Source organism: Homo sapiens, chromosome 12 (assembly GCF_000001405.40).
Source record: "Homo sapiens chromosome 12, GRCh38.p14 Primary Assembly".
Taxonomy (NCBI): Eukaryota; Metazoa; Chordata; class Mammalia; order Primates; family Hominidae; genus Homo; species Homo sapiens.
The window spans coordinates 611,690-630,806 of NC_000012.12; the positions used below are offsets into that span (position 1 = coordinate 611,690).

The 19,117-nt window shown below is 48.3% G+C and overlaps 1 protein-coding gene across 4 annotated transcripts in view, besides 3 other annotated features; it reads right to left on the reverse strand.

The window, feature by feature from the left end:
* Positions 1–19,117, reverse strand: part of NINJ2 (ninjurin 2) — a 99,150-nt gene that overhangs the window by 47,394 nt on the left and 32,639 nt on the right. The gene's annotated exons all lie outside the window — the stretch shown is intronic.
* Positions 11,280–12,024: an enhancer, noted in NCBI's record as "H3K27ac-H3K4me1 hESC enhancer chr12:732135-732879 (GRCh37/hg19 assembly coordinates)". NCBI's record gives its function as "activates a minimal SCP1, AML or CMV promoter by ChIP-STARR-seq in naive and primed H9 embryonic stem cells {active_cell/tissue: H9 hESC(naive and primed)}" and the evidence as "EXISTENCE:reporter gene assay evidence [ECO:0000049][PMID:30033119]".
* Positions 12,025–12,768: an enhancer, noted in NCBI's record as "NANOG-H3K27ac-H3K4me1 hESC enhancer chr12:732880-733623 (GRCh37/hg19 assembly coordinates)". NCBI's record gives its function as "activates a minimal SCP1, AML or CMV promoter by ChIP-STARR-seq in naive H9 embryonic stem cells {active_cell/tissue: H9 hESC(naive)}" and the evidence as "EXISTENCE:reporter gene assay evidence [ECO:0000049][PMID:30033119]".
* Positions 18,988–19,067: a silencer, noted in NCBI's record as "silent region_4102". NCBI's record gives its function as "represses an Ori minimal core promoter by ATAC-STARR-seq in GM12878 lymphoblastoid cells {active_cell/tissue: GM12878}" and the evidence as "EXISTENCE:reporter gene assay evidence [ECO:0000049][PMID:35858748]".

Genomic DNA, 19,117 nt, shown 5'->3' on the forward strand with positions numbered 1-19,117 from the left:
AGTCTAAACTCCTCCTGGTTACACCTTTGGAAGCATTTCCCTGTAGATATTCTTCCCATACCCACCATACCTCTTTCTTGGCAATAAATAACCTGCTAGAAGTCAGAAGAGAGAAAAACTTCCATGAGTTTCCAGGAAGCGAGGCCATTATTACTTGTTGTAGGAGGTTGCCCCCCAATATCTATTTGACCTTCTTGCAGGATAGTAGAATATTTGACGGGATGCATGACCACTTAGCTAAAGTCAGCATTTCCCAATCCGTCTTGCAGCAGCAGGGCTGTATGACCAAGGTCTGGCTAATGAGAACTTAGCAAGAAGAATTGTGGCCCTAAAAGGAAGGCACCTGTCTTCTCTATCCCCTCCCTCCCTTTTTCCCAGGCTGGAATGTGGAGATTGTGGTGAGCATCTTCAATCATGTGTATAAGGTACATATCCCAGGAGCAGAGCAACAAGCTAGAAGGAGCTTGGGTCCCAAACACCGTGGAGCTACTGTATTATCCCTGGACTGTCTGCACGCAGACTATTACACACAGGCGAGAAATAAACTTCCATTTTGGTCTAAGCTGTTATTATTTGGCGTCTTGCGTCAGTGAAACCTGCATCCTAACACAACACTCTGTGGGGTGTCGGGGCAGTCGCAACCTCCCGTTCTCTGAGAAACCCCCAATTCCACACACCTAGGAGGTAGCCTGGTGACATTATATCCGGTCCAGGAATATCTGGCTCAGGCTGGGTAGAGTAGGGGCGGGAGTCCTGTCCAAGCAGGGCCAATCAGATTTTCCCTTCCATTAATCTGGAACTGAGATTCACTGTTGCTATTCAACCTCCACGGACTACATGAACCAAGATGCACCAGGAGAAGCAAAAATGAGAGGCCAGGCAGCCCCAGAAAAGCAGAGGGAAGGAGCTGTCTGGGTTGGTAGGGCTCGAGGTTCTGGCCCAGGCACTTGGATGACCTCCCTGATCTCCCTGTTGTGTGGTTCTTGGGAGAGATCCTGACACTTTATGATAAACTCCCTCTTTTGGTCTCAGATGCTTTAGGTTCCTTTCTGTCACCCGTAACCCAAAGTGCCTGAGTCTCTTCTGATCCTTGTAAAGATCTGTGTATCCTCAAAACCAGAGGACCCATGTGTCTGCAGCACACCCTTGGCACACCGGGTCCTCTCCGTCACTGCAATCATAGAAGGTCCTGAGGTGAACTAGGTAGATAGACAGATTGATCGCCTGATCGGCTGATTGGTGAATCAATCCATGGGTCTTCCAAGGGATGCTAAACAGGCCTCATGGAATCACAGAATCAGGGTGAAAGGGACAAAAGGCATCAGGCAAGGTGTGACCAGAAAGGCTTAGTGACATGTCCAAAGCGTGCAATTCAGTGGCAGAGTTTCAACTGGACCCCAGCCCAGCACTCCCAGGTTCACTCCTCCTCCCCTGCCATCCCTGGCTGGCCCAATCTGGGGGTGCTCTGACACACTAGGAATAGTTTCCCCATGCTAATGAGCAAAATCCCTGTGACAGCTATGTCAAATCAAGCATATCTGCGGCTCCTAAGAAAAATGAAAATGTATCCTTTTCTCCTTTTTCTGGGTCTTTCTCTATAATTCTAAATCTCATCACGCATTTTAAATAATAAATGGGCTGGGGGCGGTGGCTCATGCCTATAATCCCAGCACTTTTGTAGGCTGAGGCAGGTGGATCACCTGAGGTCAGGAGTTCAAGACTAGCCTAGCCAATATGGTGAAACCCCATCTCTACTAAAAGTACAAAAAATTAGCTGGGCATAGTGGCAGGCACCTGTAATCCCAGCTACTTGGGAGGCTGAGGCAGGAGAATTGCTTGAACTTAGGAGGCAGAGGTTGCAGTGAGCCAAGATTGCGACATTACACTCCAGACTAGGAGACAGAACGAGACTCTGTCTCAAAAATAAATAAATAGGCCGGGCGCGGTGGCTCACGCCTGTAATCCCAGCACTTTGGGAGGCTGAGGCGGGCAGATCACGAGGTCAGGAGATCAAGACCATCCTGGCTAATACGGTGAAACCCCGTCTCTACTAAAAATTCAAAAAATTAGCCGGGCGTGGTGGCGGGCGCCTGTAGTCCCAGCTACTCAGGAGGCTGAGGCAGGAGAATGGCGTGAACCCAGGAGATGGAGCTTGCAGTGAGCCGAGATCGCGCCACTGCACTCCAGCCCGGGTGACAGAGTGAGACTTTGTCTCAAAAAATAATAATAATAAATTAAATAAATAAATTAATTAATTAATTAAAAATGGCCTTTCTTCTCTGGAAGGAGCAATGATGGTACCTCCACCATGTGCCAGGCCCCACACTGGCATTTTCTTTCCAGGTGCTATTCATTTAAGCCCTTCCAGAAGCCACAGGCATGTGGGGTGGAGAAAGGCCAAGCAGCTTGTCCATAGCACGTGGCTAGTAAGAACAGTCTCTTACACGATGTCCTACTGCCTCCTAAAGAAGACCATCCTTAGCGATGGTTGCTGCCTTGACTTTCCAGCCTTCTCCACAGGCACCTGCTCAGCTTGGTTTGGGTCCATGGGTATTGGGAAGTTACTAATCCCACTGTGGTTTATACCTCATGACTTCTTGCATTCGGCTGAATATTCTAGACTGCATGAGGGAGAGGACTGTGTGTAGGTCCAGGGACTTGGTCTTGGGAGAACATAAGTCTGGGTCGTTGGGTGGTGGCAGAACAAAATGTTTGGAGATGGAATCTAGATGATCATCTGTGCGTGAGCTTCATGCCCAGGGGACATGGTGGGGTGGGGGTGGCGGTGTGCCTGTGTGCCCACGGGGGGCTCAGCAGATGGCACTCTTCCCTCACAGTCCTGCCGGGCCTGGCTCCCTCCCTCTGTCTTCTTCCCCTTGCATTCCCTACTTGCCTCTCTACATGTCTTCCTCCTCCATGCCTAGACGTTCTTTAGTACCTGTGCTCTAAGAGGATTCCTGCTTCCCTCTTATCCAGAGAAGTCACTTAGTTAGCTCATTTTTTTTTCCTCCAAAGAAGGGAACAAAGGCTTGACACCTCAGGGCTCGGCCTGCCTGTTTTTTGAGCTGTGTTTGCACCCAGAGCTGAGTGTCTGTCTAGCTCAGGTTCCCAGAGGCCTAGGGGCAAGACCATGTCTTCACACGTCGGGCAGCGTGCATTGTCAGCGCTCTATGAAAAACAAATAGCAGTTATGCAAAGACAAGGAAGCTGCTGGCTCATGGAGGCTGTGGTCCCGAGCTCAAAAGATGCAGGCTTGAGGTCTTAACTGCTTCCATTTAGCGCACAAGCCCACGTCCCTGACACCAGCCACAGGAGGATTCTGCACTCCCATGGTCTCTCTGAAGAGTCGGGAGAGCGGTTTGTGTGAATGTGTAAGGTAGGGGAGGACTCTCTGATTTCATTATGGATTATAGAAATAATAACCTACAGTCATCTTTCAGCTCTGATAAATGAGTGACTCTCAAAGGAGATATGCACGCCCCATTAGGAAGCTACATCCAAATCTCAGCAATCAGGGTGCTAAATGAGAACACCTTATATTTACCAAGAGGAGCATGATTTTTTTAAATGACTGACAGCTTTTCCAAAGGCTAGATCTCCTTCTCGTTCTTTTCTCTACTAAGAAACTCTGGCTCATGCCTGTAATCCCAGCACTTTGGGAGGCCGAGGCAGGTGGATCACCTGAGGTCAGGAGTTCAAGACCAGCCTGACCAACACAGAGAAATCCCGTCTCTACCAAAAATAAAAAATTAGCCGGGCGTAGTGGCGCATGCCTGTAATCCCAACTACTTGGGAGGCTGAGGCAGGAGAATTGCTTGAACCTGGGAGCCGGAGGTTGCAGTGAGCCGAGATCACACCATTGCACTCTAGCCCCGGGCGACAAGAGCGAAACTCCATCTTAAAAAAAAAGAAACTCTGCTCACCCTTCAAAGCCCAGCTCCACTGCCACAGCCCTTGGGAAGCCTTCCTCAGCTCCTATCGGCTAAATTTATCCCTCTTTCTCAGTTCTCCCAAAGCATTTGCTTCACTCCACTAGTACAGCACGTACCATGGGCTATTAGAGGGCTATGTGTGGGACTGTCATCCTGTGGGCTGCATGCATCCCAAGCACAGGAAATGTGCCTCACACGACTTCACATGCCCTTTTCAGGGTCATCTGACAAGCAAGGGAAAATCCTACAATTGGCAGAGCAGTTGTGTTGATGTAGGAAGTGTCTGAGAGGAAAGGGCTGAAAGGAAAAGTGAGGCACACTCTCGGAGAGCTAGAATATCATTCCAGGGGGTTTTAGCTAGGGTGAGGGGCTGCAGAAAGCAGTACTTGTAATGGGCCAGAGGTATAGTAGTTAGAGAAAGCTGATAAGAATTTGTTGCGGTAAAGGAAGTTCTCAGGAAGGTAAAGGACTGGTTCAAGGAAACTTCTGAGTATAAAAAAACCAGGACTGCATTGCCATTTCAACGGGTTGCCTGGACTAGATTTTGAAGCAAAGTCCTATAGTCAGGAAAACTCCAGGAGCTGACTTGGACTTCTCCAAGAACAGAGGCTGGAGGAGGAAAGAAGGAAGCAAAGGCCATGGTAATGACCTTACCATTGGGATAAACTGTGTCAAGCTGCACTGAGTAACCAGGTTGTGTCCTGTAAGTTACTAATCCCACCATGGTTTATACCTCATGACTTCTTGCATTCTGCTGAATATTCTAGACTGCCTGAGAGAGAGGACTGTGTGTAGGTCCAGGGGTTTGGTCTTGGGAGAACATAAGACTGGGTCGTTGGGTGGTGGCAGAACAAAATGTTTGGAGATGGAATCTAGACGATCATCTGTGCGTGAGCTTCATTACAGTGAAGAGTGGGACTGCTCTGGTCCCAGGGTAATGACGGTGACAGTGCTGCAGGTTGCAGGAAACCCACCCCATTCCCCCTCCAAATAGGAAAGAGGCCACGATGCCAAGAAAAGGGACTTCTTGACTACAAAATGGGCCTAGCTACCAACTTATAAATTAGAAGCAAGACTTCTGAGTGGTGTCAGGAAACTGCTAGTGTTCTCCTCTCTTGTACCTTTAAGATTTATCCAAAATGAGACACCTTTCTACACAATAGCATCTGATGTGACCTAAGTGTGGAGACAAGAATCCCTAGTTGAACCAATGAAGGATCAAAAGACGCTAAAAGCTTACCTTGGCATCTCAGGCACTTGGAAAGCTAGCATTGCCTCCAGTTCTTTAAAAAAAGTGTGCTCAGCCGGGCGCAGTGGCTCATGCCTGTAATCCCAGCACTTTGGGAGGCCAAGGTTGGCGGATCACCTGAGGTCAAGAGTTCAAGACCAGCCTGGCCAACATGGTGAAACCCCGTCTCTACTAAAAATACAAAAATTAGCCAGACGTGGTGGCGCACACCTGTAATCCCTGCTACTCGGGAGGCTGAGGCAGGAGAATCGCTGGAACCTGGGAGGCGGAGGTTGCAGTGAGCTGATCACTCCATTGCACTCCAGCCTGGGCGACAAAGCAAGACTCCATCTCAAAAACAAAAAAGTGTGTTCACCCCCTGTTCTTGCCCTAGGTCCCTAATCTAAGCGAAGTTGTTGTAGTAAAGCCTGGGATGCGCTAAGAGGACAACAGAGGAAAGACACTGGGGGAAGAGCCCACAGCAGTCAGAGCACGTCCTCCCCTCACGAAGCCTTCCCTAAAGCCCTGGCCGCGTGCTGAGAATCCTTCCTTCTAATCCTGCCCCTGCATATCCGTGGCCCAAGCATTCCTTCTGCCTCCAGACCTGCCTCCACAACAGCTGATGAGGCAAGTGTCCTGGCTGAAGCGCAGCAGTTCACATCCCCTTTCTTTCTGGCCTTGACATTAGAGGATGCCTGTGCAGCTCTGAAGCTCCTGGGGATAAAAGGCTCAGGCTGCTGTGCTTCTTCTCACAGGTCCCTGAGCTCCCCCAGGGCTTTCCTACACAGAAGGCCGGCTGGCTGAGCACTCCCAGCTGCAGCCCCGCTGGCGTCGCCGTGTTTTCTGTGCTCTGCGCTCACTCCCCAGGACGTTCTGGTTTCCTCATCTCAGCTCTCTTTGTTTAGCCACAGAGATTGGGCAACTTCTGTTGGGCAGCGAGGTCAGGGCCCTGCCTCCTAAGAAGGGGCCTCTCCCTCACAGGTCAGTCTGAAGTCACTTGTTCTCCAAGCCCTTGCTCACCCCAGGGCCCTGACACTCAAGTCCATCCAACACCAGGTGCCTCTTTCTCTGGGCACTTGGTGCCCAGGTAAAATTTTCAGATATTATTGCTGTTTTTAACATTATTCAGTGAATAACGTACTCTGGTGGTCTGAAAGGGATAAGGGGGGATTCTGATTTACGGATTTAATGTCAGACTGCATAAAAGCCTCCTCTCTCTCCTTCGGAAGTTTTCTAGGGTGCTAGGTGGCAGCAACCCTGTTCTGTCAATAGGACCATCTGAACCCGTAGGAGCTCCTTGCTGGACAATGCCAAAGTGCGGCTGCAGTATGTGGTTAAAAGTCCCGTGGAGAGTTGGTAATGAGGAGGTGGGGGTGAGGAGTTGGTAATGAGGAGGTGGGGGTGAGGAGTTGGTAATGAGGTGGGGGTGAGGAGTTGGTAATGAGGTGGGGGTGAGGAGTTGGTAATGAGGTGGGGGTGAGGAGTTGGTAATAAGGTGGGGGTGAGGAGTTGGTAATGAGGTGGGGGTGAGGGGGGAGTGTTGAGAAGGCAGTATGCCACTCTGGAACCCCAGAACAGCATTTTAGGACTCAGGGCCCAGAGGCGTTTTAGGACTATGGAAACTTACCACAGGAAGGGCTTTAGTAATCAGTTGTGCCTGATCTGTCTATTTTACAGAGGAAGAAACTGAGGCTCAGAGAGGCATATAACCTACCAGCAGGCTTTGGTTAGTGATCTGGGTTGACCCAGTGAAGGTCAGTCTGACAGCACTGTGGCCCAGGGCCCTCTCAGTCATGGCACCAGAGCCTCGGGCTCCAAGGAGACTGCAGTTTTGGATCAGGAGCCGAATTGCCTCTTATCGCAGAAGTTCTGTCTCCATCTGCAGGGAAAAGGAGGCTCTTGGCCTCCCAGGGTAGCAAAAGGCAAACACACTTGGTTACCGGGAGCCCTTGAGAAGGTGGCAAGAGTGGAGAAGAGCAAACACCCGACTCCCTCCATCTCTGGCTTTGGCTCTAGACTCAGATGGTTTAGAGCCAAGGCCTCCAATGGCCTCTCAGAGCTCTCAGAGAGCCCTGTTCAGGTGCAGAAAAACTGGTCTCGTGTATTCTCCATGGGTCCCCACAAACAACAGATTATCAGAAAGGTCAGGCTTCTTTCTGACAGGGGCAGCAAAACTAAATCCCAGAACTTCTAAAGGTCACGTGCCTTGTGGAGAAATAGTTGGGGAGTGAGGTGCCCGCAATTTCTTTTGAGGAGAGCAGTGGCTAGAAGGAATGGTCCAGGAGGGGGGCAGTTTATTGTCAGGACCATTGGATGGAGTCCAGCAAGTATTTATCAGGAGTTGATGGTGTGTGCAGCCCCAAGCTGGGCACTTGGGGTAGGGGATGGAGAGTATGTTTAGGACTTGGCCCCTGCTTACAAGGTGCTTGCTGGCAATATAAGATTCTCATATGTGATTCAAAAAAGAGAAAAGGCAGAAGCTATGTTAATGGCCAAAGAGAACATGCTTTAGAAGGAATGAGAAAAATCAGTGTGGGCTCCTCTAGTTCTGAAGAGCTTCATGGAGTGGGGCGATCTTTACACAGCCCCACACCCTGCAGTCAGTGTGTGAACTGAGGAGAGAGGTGGGAATGAGCATAGGAACTCACCCTTTCTAACCTCCTTTGTACACAGGCTGTGAGCTAGAATTAGAATGTAAAGAACGCTGTGTCCTCCAAGGGTGGCATATTGCCTGCGGAGTCCTCCTGGGCCCTTGCAGGATGTGGCCAAGATGCTTGGTGCTGCAGATAGTCTCCCGGAAGAGAGGGGCTTACACATTCTTGGTAAGCTGTGGCTGGGTTTAGAATGATTCCTTGGGAAAAGGGGTAGCAAAGTAACTTTGTCCTGAAGAAGCCCCAAGTATCCTGAGCCCAGCAGCCTTACATAAAGTAGTATTGCATAGTGACTACCATTTCAGGGTCTGGATTTAGACTTGGCTTTGAGTCCTATCTCTGCAGCTTTTAGTAACTGTGTGACATTGTCATTGACCTCTCTAAGCTTCAGTTTCCTCATCTATAAAGTGAAGATAATATTCCTTAATGGTCAGGGTTATAGTGAGGACTAAGTGAGGGAGGGCTCAGCTGCCAGCTTGGCATCCTCAGCCCATGGCAGCCGTGTCATGGCTTTGTGCTCCAGTTTGTTGCCAGGGCCTGGTGTTTCATGGTTCACTCTCTTGTCTGACTGTTTCCCAGATCAGGCAAGCCCTAAAGCGTCCTTTCATCCCTTTGGACACCTCCTAGTGACGGGAGAGCACAGGCAGTATGGGAGTGGGAAACTGGATGTCATAGCTGAGTGTCCATTCTATAGCTCGTGGGCATCATGCCATGGGCATCTCTTGACATAGTCAAGAGACCTGGATGGAAATGGGCCCCAAACTACTTCACTAGGAGCTTTGTTTTCCTAGACCACAGTTTCTTCATCTATAAAATAAACAGCTTAAATTAGACCAGCGATCCCCGCTTTGCGGGAAGGGGAGAGGGTCTCAGACAGTATGGGGTCCCTGAATCCAGATGCACAGCAAACATTGCCTAGAGAACAAATAGATGATGCGTCTCACACATAAAGCCTGTGCTGTTTGTCAAATGCACAGAGGTGCTGCTATAATTTTTAAGATACATGTAAAAAGTATTACTGAATGCATGGTAGCTTTTTCTCAGCATGCAGTTCTTCATTTGTAGATACTAAAAGTACAATTATGATTACTTGGAAGGATCCAAAAGTGGTTTTGAAGTTTGTTTGTTTGTTTGTTTGTTTGTTTTTGAGACAGAGTCTTACTCTGTCACCCAGGCTGGAGTGCAGTGGCGCAATCTTGGCTCACTGCAACCTCTGCCTCCTGGGTTGGAGTAATTCTCCTGCCTCAGCCTCCGGAGTAGCTGGGATTACAGGTGTGCGCCACAATGCCTGGCTAATTTTTGTATTTTTAGTAGAGACGGGGTTTTGCCATGTTGGCCAGGCTGGTCTTAAACTCCTGACCTCAGGTGATCCACCCACCTCGGCCTCCCAGAGTGCTGGGATTACAGGCATGAACCACTGCTCCCAGCTAAGGTTTTGAAGTCTTAAAGAGGTACTCAGGCTTGAAAAGTTTGGCTACCACTGGATGAGATGAAGGACTTACTCAGCCTCTCCTGGATGTGGCTCCTAATTCCAACCTAACAAACAAGCACTCCTGAGTCTCTAGCTTCACGTCCTTCTTGAAGAAATAGCAGCTACTAGAAGAGGTTCCCCTGTGGCAGTGAAGACAAACTAGAAGGAGAGACAAGTAAGAAAGAGTAGTGTACAACCAGGCATGGTGATTCACACCTGTAATCCCAGCACTTTAGGAGGCTGAGGCAGGAGGATTGCTTGAGCCCAGAAGTTCAAGACCAGCCTGGGCAACATAGAGAGATGCCATCTCTATAAAAAAATTTAAAAAAAAAATTAGCCAGGCATGATGGCACACACTTGTAGTCCCAGCTACTTGGGAGGCTGAAATGGGAGAATTGCTTGATCCTGAGAGTTTGAGGCTGTAGTGAGCTGTGATTGCACCACTGCACTCCACCCTAGGTGACAGGGTAAGACCCTGTCAAAAAGAAAAGAAAGAAAAAGAAAAAAAAAGAAAGAAAGAAAAGAAAAAGAAAAGAAAAAAAGAAAACAGAAAAGAAAAGAGAGAGAGCCTGGGCACAGTGGTTCACAACTGTAATCCCAGCACTTTGGGAGGCCGAGACGGGAGATGGGAGATCAAGAGATCAAGACCATCCTGGCCAACATGGTGAAACCCCATCTCTACTAAAAATACAAAAATTAGCTGGGCATAGTGGCGTGTGCCTGTAGTCCCAGCTACTCAGGAGACTGAGGCAGGAGAATCACTTGAACCCGGGAGGCAGAGGTTGCAGTGAGCCAAGATTGCGCCACTGCACTCCAGCCTGGTGACAGAGTGAGACTCCGTCTCAGAAAAAAAAAAAAAAAGAGAGAGAAAGAATAGTGTGGCCACGCACTGTGGCTCACACCTGTAATCCCAGCACTTTGGGAGGCCGAGGTGGGTGGATCACAAGGTCAGGAGTTCGTGACCAGCCTGGCCAAGATGGCGAAACACTGTCTCTACTAAAATTAGCCAGGCATGGTGGCAGGTGCCTGTAATCCCAGCTGCTCAGGAGGCTGAGGTAGAGAACTGCTTGAACCTGGGAGGCGGAGGCTGCAGTGAGCTGAGATCACGCCACTGTACTCCATCCTGGGTGACAGAGCAAGACTGTGTCGGGAAAAAAAAAAAAAAAAAGGCCAGGCGCAGTGGCTCATGCCTGTAATCCCAGCACTCTGGGAGGCCGAGGCGGGCGGATCATGAGGTCAGGAGATCGAGACCACGGTGAAACCCCGTCTCTACTAAAAAATACAAAAAATTAGCCGGGTGCGGTGGTGGGTGCCTGTAGTCCCAGCTACTCAGGAGGCTGAAGCAGGAGAATGGCATGAACCCGGGAAGCGGAGCTTGCTGTGAGCTGAGATCACGCCACTGCACTCCAGCCTGGGTGACAGAGTGAGACTCCGTCTCAAAAAAAAAAAAAAAAAAAAAAAAAGGAAAGAAAGAAAGAAAGGGGCTACCTAAAGAGAGGAAGACAACTTTTATAAGAAACTCTGGGAAATGCTCAGGACTCTATTTGTTTAAAGGCCCTTTTTAAGAAATGCTTGCCACTTCCTAGTATTTGTCATTGTTTCCTACTGCACACGTTTGCAGCATATGGGAAGTGGGAGGAGTTAGAATGTCCTCCAAATTCCCCTGACACCCAGTTCCCACCTTCATCCTCTAGAAAAATGTGTTGCTTTGTTTTGTTTAACTTTTCGGGTCACAGACCCTTTCAGAATCTGATAAAGGTGATGGACCCCCTACCTCACCCTAAATGCAGTCACACACGGATAGCTTTTCTTTTTTTTTTAATTTTAATTTTTTTCATGAATAACTTTTCACATAATTTCAGCAGGTTCATCGCCTCCTGAGTTCACATGGACCCCCTTGGGAATTTATGGACACCCCCGCCCAGGTTAGGAAAACCTGCTCTTGTGTGGGTTGCTTCAAACAAGTTTAAATTTGCCTTCTCCTAGTTGTCCATAGATCTAAGCTTTTTCTAAAAGTCCCATGGAACTTGTAATGAGACCTCTAAATGTCCCATATCCCAAAATGCTGTTGTAGGCTTCTTAGATTTTGGAAGACCAGATCAGCAAAAGACAGCATGCACTCAGGTGGAATATTGCAAAGGTAGACATCAGCTCAAGGCTAGCTTCTCTGGGCAGCTGGTGCAAGGTGAATGGAAGCAAGATAGGGGCTCAGGAACAGAGTCCATCTGAGAGCCAGCACTCCCTCCTGACAGTGACAGTTTTGTAAGTTTCTGTCCTAGGAGCTGTGGGCCTGCAGACCTGTGGTCCTTGAAGTGGAAAGCTGCTCCCATCTCTAGGAAGGATCTCCCAGCCTCTGTCCCCCTCCCCCACTGCTACCCGAGCAGCTCTCCCTTCACCTCAGGCCCTGTGTGACACACCTTTCCCCAGGGTTCCTGCCCCGGCAGCCTGCCCTGTCTGTTAGTGCTGTGAGTCTCTGAATGTACCAGCCAAAATCAGGGAAGGTTTCTTCCCACCCACTCAAAACTTCACTTTTCTCATCATCCAAACTCCGAATCTAAAAGCCTAGTTGTTATTTACCAACTTGCGTCCAAATCCACTCTTGGGCTTAGTTTGCAACCAGCATGTACCCTGGGATGAGTGAGAGGCGACAGGCTAGGAAGGGATCTGGGGTTTATTAGTGACAGACCAGGCTGCTAGGTTTGGCTGAGGTGCCACAATTTGCACCAGGCAAGGGAGGTGAATTCAAATACCAGGATGTTGGGCAATATTTCAAAGAGTGAGGCTGGGCATGGTGGCTCATGCCTGCAATCCCAGTACTCTGGGAGGCTGAGGCAGAAGGATCGCTTGAGCCCAGGAGTTCAAGACCAGACTGGGCAACACAGTGAGACCCTGTCTCTACAAAAAATTTTAAAAGTAGCTAGGTGTGGTTGTGCACACGCCTGTAGTCCCAGCTGCTCAGAAGGCAGAGGTAGGAGGATCGCTTGAGCTCAGGAGGTCAAGGCTGCAGTGAGCTGTGATCACACCACTGCATTCCAGCCTTGGTGACAGAGCGAGACTCTGTCTCAAAAACAAAAACAAAAACAAAAACAAAAAACAAAGAATGAAATTCATTGCTATTACAGCCCTTCCTCTACCCTCACCCTGAACTCTACGTCCCATCCTCTTACTCTACAACCTACTATGCAAATGACTCATTGTTCTCTACAATGTTACCCCACTGGGTTCAATCCTATCTGAGCTTTGTAGGACTCCAAACCTATGTGTAAAGGTATGAGCACTTCAAAGGAAGATTGGCAGGGAAGGCCAATCCTTCTGCTTATGTATTTTATTCTTTGATTTTAAAAATCAATTTATCCAATAGATATTTATGGAGCTCTAACTGGGTTAGGATACTAGTGTATGGGGATACAGAAAAATACAAAGATATACCAGGATACTGGAATACGGGAAAATGTATGAATGAATGAGATCTGGATTCACTTTCAAGGAGCTTGCCGTCTAGTAGAGGAAATGACATACAAATAAGCCACAACACATGGTATAAAAAATATATATGGCCGGGCACAGTGGCTCACACTTGTAATCCCAGCACTTTGGGAAGCAGAGGAGGTAGATGACCTGAGGTCAGCAGTTCAAGACCAGCCTGGCCAACATGGTGAAACCCTGTCTCTACTAAAAATACAAACAATTAGCCAGGCGTGGTGGCATGTGCCTGTAATCTCAGCAACTTGGGAGGCTGAGGCAGGAGAATTGCTTGAACCCAGGAGATGGAGGTTGCAGTGAGCCGAGATTGCGCCACTGCACTCCAACCTGGGAGACAGAGTGAGACTCCATCTCAAAAAAAAAAAAAAAGATGGCTGGGCGCGGTGGCTCACGCCTGTAATCCCAGCACTTTGGGAGGCCGAGGTGGGTGGATCACCTGAGGTAAGGAGTTCGAGACCAGCCTGGCCAACATGGTGAAACCCCGTCTTTACTAAAAATACAAATATCATCCTGGCATGGTCGTGAGCACCTATAATCCCGGCTACTTGGGAGGCTGAGTAATGAGAATTGCTTGAACCTGGGAGGTGGAGGTTGCAGTGATCGTGCCACTGCACTCCTGCCTGGGCAACAAGAGAGAGACTTCATCTCAAAAAAAAAAAAAAAAAAGATATATATATAGATATATAGATATATTTGCCCTAGCTTAGTAACTATCATTAGCAAGTGATATTTAAGCTGGACTCTGAAGGATGGGTAAGAGTTGGAGAGACAAAGATGAGGAAAAGGCATCTAGGTGGTAGGAATGGTATGCCAAGAGCCTTGGAAGCAGCAGGTGGACCTACATGCAGACTAGCAAATAGTTCTATTTGGCAAGAACATAGGGAGAGGGAGTAGACAGAGAGAAGGTCAGAAAGCCAAGGTGAAGTCGAGACCTTGCATTTCAGGCTGAAGAGTAGTTTGGGAATTTCAGGGGAATCACTGAAGGTTTTTGAGTAGAGTTCATGGTGATCATAGCTGTATCCTAGAAAAATTAATTTGGGAGTTCTCTGGAGGCTACGTTGAAGAAAAAGAAAGCATTGGGTAGGGGTATTAGAAGAGGGAACATCTACAGGAGCCTTTTCCAGCAAGCTACTTCTGGTCAACTAAGCCAAAAGGGACCTTGGCCTCCGTTCTCTATGGTCCTCACTGTCTGGACCTCTCATGGACGGTACAGAAAGACAATATAGTTGTTAGGGGCAGAGTCTACTATAAAGTACCTTCTCAGAGCTTGGTCCACCATGTGGAATAATTATATCCAGATTTGTTTTAAAGATTAAATGAGATAGAGTCTATCAAAACACTTATTAGCATAGAGGGAACGGATAAGCAATTTTTAATAAATGGTTGATAGGATAATCATTATCCTATGACTCATCTTGTAGATACGTGTGTCTAAAACTGGAATCACCTCCTTTATGGGTAGGAAGCCACAGCTTCTTGTACCAAGTAGATGATCAATGAATATGAAATAAACAGATATCATGATCGGTGAGGGATTAGGCTGTAAGAGTTTCATTAAATTTAGGAGAATCATTCCCTTTGAATGAGGACTGACATTTTTCTTGCCTGAAGTGTTCCCTGTTCTCAGAAGTACAATCACTATAACTTGGCAGATAGGATGGGATGAGTTTGTCCTTGAGACAGGACATCAAGCCCCAGTTCTGGGTAATGTTTTGACCTCACTGGTCCTGGCAAGCATTAATCTGAAGTCACTAGGCCTCTGGGCCTGTTCCTAATGGGCCTGTGTCCACCCAGTGATGAGGGATTCATAAGAAGCCCTCCTAATATCTGCTGGCTACATTCACGGGAACCTTGGTGTAGGCCTGAAAAAAGAGCTGCGTTAGTGAGGAGGTAGTGGGAGCTAAGAGTTAGTATACAGCAATATTTAGGCGCTGGACTCCTGGTTGCTTTTCCCAATTCTATTGCCCAGAACTAAGAAACTTTGGACATTCTCTTCTTCTCTCTACCGCAGGGCCTGATCATCAAGGCATCCCTGAATACTGACTGCCTCCTACCAGTGCCTGCTACCTACAAAGGCATTGATGCACTAAGTGCCACAGGGCCCTCCAGGACTTAAAAGAGTTTCACTCTAGCTGAACATAAAAGGTGAAACACAGAAGAAATATGGCACTGTAGTTAAGGGTATAAACAATGGAGTCAGGGTGCCTGGTTCAAATCCTGGCTTTCTCACTAGCTGACACGAGGCAGTCAACCTTTCTGCACCTTAGTTTCCTTATCTCTAAAGTAGGAATAATAATAATAATAGTATCTACCAAATGGGGTACTATTAAGAGTTAAATAAAATAACTTAGCTTGGTGCTGTAGCTTGCGCCTATAATCCCAGCACTTTGAGAGGTTGAGGCGGGAGGATTGCTTGAGCCCAGGAGTTCAAGACCAGCCCGGGCAGCATAGTGAGATCCTGTCTCTACAAAAATTAAAAGAGTACGCAGGTGTGGTAAGACATGCCTGCAGTTACAGCTACTCAAAAGGCTGAGACGGAAAGGTTGTCTGAGCCTAGGAGTTCGAGGTTGCAGTGAGCTATGATTGTACCACTGAACACCGGCCTGGGTGACAGAGCCAGACCCCATCTCAAAAAAAAATTCAATAGAATAATTTGTGTAAAGTGCTAAATACAGTAATGGCCCATAGCAAGCACCTAATAACTGTTAACTATTATTTTTGAATTAAATCATAGCATCCAACCTGAAAAGCAATATATGGCAATAAGGAATTTTCTAGGCCATGCCTTTAGAATTTTTATCATCCTTTTAGAATTGAAGCTTCTTGTTAGAAGATTCTGTCCTGTATTTTCATGGATGCCCCAACAGCCACCCTCCCTGCCTTGCAATCAAACAGGTGCTCAAATATTTTTTGAGAATATAATTAAGTACATTTCTACTTTCTAATTTCTAAATGAATGAAATAGAGAACTAGGAAACTTAGGACAGTAAGACTGATGTCAGCTGGGCAATCAGAGAAGGCTTCATGGAGGAGGTGAGACTGACGTAGCCCTTGACAAGTTCGATAGGATTTAGATGGATAAAGTGAAGCAAGGAAAATTCTAATTATTGGAGCCTCGAATGGGTTGGGTGTTCATGAGAGGCAGGGGCAGACTTCGTGGGTACAGCTGCAGCATACTGCACACACATTAAGGGTGGCACCTCTGTGCCCAGACCTGGGCTTAAGTGGAACCAGACTCGCCTGGGACAGACTTTGGGCGCAGTGACAGGAGCCCATCAGCTGCTCAAGAGACCCCTGCCAAAATCTCAACTGGAGCTGGGCACAGTGGCGCATGCCTGTAATCCCTGGGCACAGTGGTGCATGCCTGTAATCCCAGCTACTTGCGTGCCTGAGGCAGGAGAACCCGGGAAGTGGAGGTTGCAGTGAGCTGAAATTGGGCCACTGCACTCCAGCCTGAGCGATAGAGCGAGACTCCGTCTCAAAAAGAAAAAAAAAGTCTCAATCAGCTAGGCCAAGTCCTTCCTGTCCTGTCCCTGTCCCTGCCGCATCCTCCCCGCCCTGCCCCCGGCTCCTCTTTCACACCCTGTGCCAGACAGAAGGCCTGGGAGTGAAAAGACTGGCCATGGGGACAGAGAGCTGGATCCAAAGGTCAAGGCTGAGTTTGCCAGAGCCTGCAGGATCCCTGCACCGCTTTACTGGATCCCCAGGTTGAGCTGAGATGCTGCTCTGGGTGGAGAAGGGGCCATGAGCCTCTGGCAGGCCTCTGTGTCACACCTTTCCACCAGGGAAAACTGGGTGTGGATGTTTCCCCTTCGTATGTACTCTGAGATCTCTATGAGGAGTCTTCCTAGAGGGGAAGGGGGAAGCCTCCTCATAGAGATCTCAGAGTACATAGGAAGGAGCCAGGTCTTTCCGTTCTTCTGCGTCTCCTCACAGCGTCACCTACAAGGGTCTGGCACACAGTGGACACTCTTCCTGGCTTTTCTGGTACAGAGTGACCAACATAACAGTTAATAGCATTTCCTCATTTTACAGACAGGGAAAGCAAAAAACATAAGCATGGTAATGCATATATAATACGTGTCTATGGCAGAGGCATTCGAACCAGAATGACTCCATCTTGAATAGGGGCTGGTAAAATGAGGCTGAGACCTGCTAGGTGGCATTCCCAGGAGGTTAGGCATTCTTAGTCACAGGATGAGATAGGAGGTCAGCACAAGACACAGGTCACAAAGGCCCTGCTGATAAAGCAGGATGCAGTAAGGAAGCCTGCCAAAACCCACCAAAACCAAGATGGCAATGAAAGTGACCACTGGTTGTCCTCACTGCTCAGTATATGCCAATTATACATTAGCATGCTAAGAGACACTCCCACCAGCACCATGGCAGTTTACAAATGCCATGGCAACACCTGGAAATTATCCTATATGGTCTAAAAGAAGGAGGAGTCCTCAACTGGGGGAGGGGGAAAATCTCCATCTCCTTCCCAAAAAGCTCATGAATAACCCACCCCTTGTTTAGCATATGATCAAGAAATAACCATAAAAATAGCCAACCAGCAGCCCTCAGGGTTGCTTTGCCTATAGAGTAGCCATTCTCGTGTTTCTTTACTTGTCTAGCAAACTCGCTTTCACTTTACTTCATGGACTAGCCCAGAGTTCTTGTACAAGATCCGAAAAACCCTCTCTTGGGGTCTGGATCGGGACCCCTTTCTGGCAATGATACCCTCTTATTGTGGTAATTCATTTAATCCTCACAATGATCCTCTGAGGTAGGTGCCATTATTATCTTCATTTTACATGTGGGAAAACTGAAGCCGGAAGGATGAACAGCTTCCCAAGTTCACCGAAGGAGTAAGTGGTCCACAGGACTAGGAGCCTGGGATTTGCACCGAGGCAGTCTGGCTCTGTTCTCCATTGGCCACTGCGATGCCACCTGGGTGGAGGGAGCACAGGTCCAATGGCGGGGAGAGTACAGTACAACCCAGGATCCTGTCTTCCAGGTCTCTCCACGCAATTAACCTACTCAAAACTTCATGACAGTCCAGCAAGCTTGTCCAACCCACAGCCTGTGGGCCCCGTGCAGCCCAGGACGGCTTTGAACGCGGCCCAAAACAAATTCGTAAATTGTCTTAAAACATTATGAGTTCTTGGTTGGGCATGGTGGCTCACGCCTGTAATCCCAGCACTTTGGGAGGCCGAGGCAGGTGGATCACCTGAGGTCAGGAGTTTGAGACCAGCCTGACCAACATGGAGAAACCTCGTCTCTACTAAAAATGCAAAATTAACCAGGCCTGGTGGCGCATGCCTGTAATCCCAGCTACTCAGGAGACTGAGGCAGGAGAATCACTTGAACCTGGGAGGCAGAGGTTGTGGTGAGCCGAGATCGTGCCGTTGCACTCCAGCCTCGGCGACAAGAGCAAAACTCAAAAAAAAAAAAAAAATATATATATATATATATATATATATGAAGTTTCTTTGCGATTTTTTAAAAGTGTATCAGCCATTGTTAGTGTTGCTGTATTTTATGTGTGGGGCAAGACAATTCTTCCAATGTGGCCCAGGGAAACAAAACAATTGGACACCCTGGATGATGAAAAAGAGCACTCTTCAGCCCCTGCTGTCACCAAAGCCCCACCTCAGTTCTTGCCCTTAGGTAACGCCAAGATAGCAAAATGGAATTTTACCAAACCGCTCTTAGGTTCCTTCCCCAGGAGACCAGAAATGCCCTGGGGACTGCCTGCCTTTGAGGCAAATTTTTTTTCCTTTTTAAAGAAAGTGGTAAACATCTGAAAATAGAGTTTTTGAAAGAAAGTGACTCTTCAGTTGTAATTATAGCAGAGAGGGTCATTGCTTTCTATCAGCAAGAAAGCTGCTTCTATTTTTTTTTATTCTCTTTTTCTTGGTTTTTTGTTTTGTTTTGTTTTGTTTTGTTTTTTGAGACGGAGTCTCGCTGAGTTGCCCAGGCTGGAGTGCAGTGGTGTGATCTCGGCTCACTGCAAGCTCCATCTCCCGGGTTCAAGCGATTCTCCTGCCTCAGCCTCCCGAGTAGCTGGGACTGCAGGCTCCGGCCACCACGCCTGGCTAATTTTTTTTGTATTTTTAGCACAGACGGAGTTTCACCATGTTGACAGGCTGGTCTCGAACTCCTGGCCTCAGGTGATCTGCCCGCCTCGGCCCCCCAAAATGCTGGGATCACAGGCGTGAGCCACCGCTCCCCGCCGCTGCTTCTAAATACAGCCTGTATAATGCAAATCCCCAAAGAGGGCCAGCCTCTGGCCCCATTCAGCTTCCTCCCTCAGAGGCTGGGTGCGTGCGCCCTGGGCGGGGCGGCGGGCTCCCTCCGGAGAGGC